The sequence below is a fragment of the Homo sapiens genome, chromosome 15, assembly GCF_000001405.40.
Source record: "Homo sapiens chromosome 15, GRCh38.p14 Primary Assembly".
Taxonomy (NCBI): Eukaryota; Metazoa; Chordata; class Mammalia; order Primates; family Hominidae; genus Homo; species Homo sapiens.
Genome location: NC_000015.10, coordinates 48,308,485 through 48,310,467, shown reverse-complemented (window position 1 = coordinate 48,310,467; position 1,983 = coordinate 48,308,485).

Below are 1,983 nucleotides of genomic sequence, written 5' to 3'. Positions count from 1 at the left end.
TGAAGTTTGTGATAATTTATTATGCAGCAGTAGAAAATTAATACACATCCCACTTGGGTTTTGTGTTTAAAAGGATGAAAGAACATACTATACTCATAATGCATAGATTCACACAATTCAGTCACATTATAATAATTACCCTATCCTACTATGGATAATATCAATTCTGAGTTTTATTTGGCCCAGAAAATAAAACTCAGAACCTATTAAGATTATACTTGGCTGAGTATGGTGGCTGCTGCCTGTAATCCCAGCATTTGGGGAGGTTGAGGTGGGAGGACTGCTTAAATGCAGGAATTTGTGACCTGCCTGGGCAACAGAGTGAGACCCCATCTATAGAAAAAGGAATAATAAAACGAAAAAATAGTTCAGCATGGTGGCTTGCACCTGTAGTCCCAGCCACCTGGGAGGCTGAGGTGGGAGGATCACTTGAGCCCAGGAGTTCAGAGGCTTCAGTGAGCTATGACTGCGACACTGCACTCCAGCCTGGGCAACAGAGACTCTGTCTCCAGACAAAACAAAACAAAACAAAACACAGCACAAGATTATACTTGTCTATTCCTGAGTTCCAGAAAGTAAAATATGCAATATGAACCTACTGACCTAAATAATGTCTGCAGGGCCATAGTGGTAAATCTGATGCAATATTTCTCTATCACTTTCTCCACCCAAGAAAGAGGCATATATATATTTTAAAAGATCTCATGTTTAAAAAAAAAACAAAACTAAAAACCTAAGCTTATCAGTAGGTATGTGATGGGGTCAACTTTTTCTTTTTACAGTGACGTTTTAGTTGCTCACTTATTTTACGAATAAGCACAACACAATAATGATGGTATAATATATTTTTGAGTGTTAGAAATTTATTATATATGACCTTCACAATATATGTCAGATCAAACATGAGTTAATCATTAAATACAGTCTGGCAGACAAGTAGCTTGTTTATGGATTTAATTATTTAAATGTTAGTTTTTGAGTAGTTATTATTGTATATAGTAAAAATGAAATCTCTTACTTGTCCTTCATTCAGTTTTCTTCTCCAAAGTCAACCCTAATTGGTTTCTTATGCATTCTTCTAGAGGTACACTATGCATTTACAAATAAATATTCAAAAAATATGAATAAGTAAATGGTAACTAATGCTCACTAAATTGGATTAATTAAATTAACTGATTTCCTAGCAATAAGATATATCTGTATTCCTAGAATACCATATTCCTGATTATAGTGGAATATTGTTTGAATACATTGGTAAAATTGAGTTGCTAGTATTCTATTTTGGATTTTCCTATGTTTATTCATACAAGAAATTGACTTGTATCCTATTTTTGTGGTCTGTCATATTTTGGTATCAAGTTTATGCTAGTTTTGCAAAATAACTGAGAAAGGGAAAGACAATGTTTTATCTTGTTCTGTTCAGCAATAGCTTAAATATAATGGTAATTATATTTTCTTTGAAAGTTTAAAAGAAGTTGCCTAGAAAAAATCCTTTGGGTTGAAACTTTTTTGAGCTAGATCTTTGACAATCTTCGTGTTTTATCCTGAAGTATTAGATTTTATCAGGTATTCTATTTCCTTTTGAGTTAATTTGAGTGGTTTATATTTTACTACAAATAGATATGTGTATTGTAATTAAAAATTTACCATACTAGAGTTTTAAAGGACATTCTTTCCCAAAGTTGAACCCAAAGTCCCTTGCTTATTTGTAAATGTGTATATTTATATTTTATCTATTCTTCTAAAACTAAAAAGAAGTTTTTTTATTTGATGTTATTCCTTTTCTTTTTTAGCAACAGCAACAAACAACAGTTGAGTTTGTCATTTGAGCTGTTACTGTCTTTATTGAAAATAATAATGTCTGTGCTTAAGTATTTACCATAAAGTGCTGAGCCCAGTACTGTGCTCATCTATTGACCCACATTATCTCATCTGTTTGCAACAACCCTAAGAGATGCATTCTCTTAATCCCCGTTTTACATA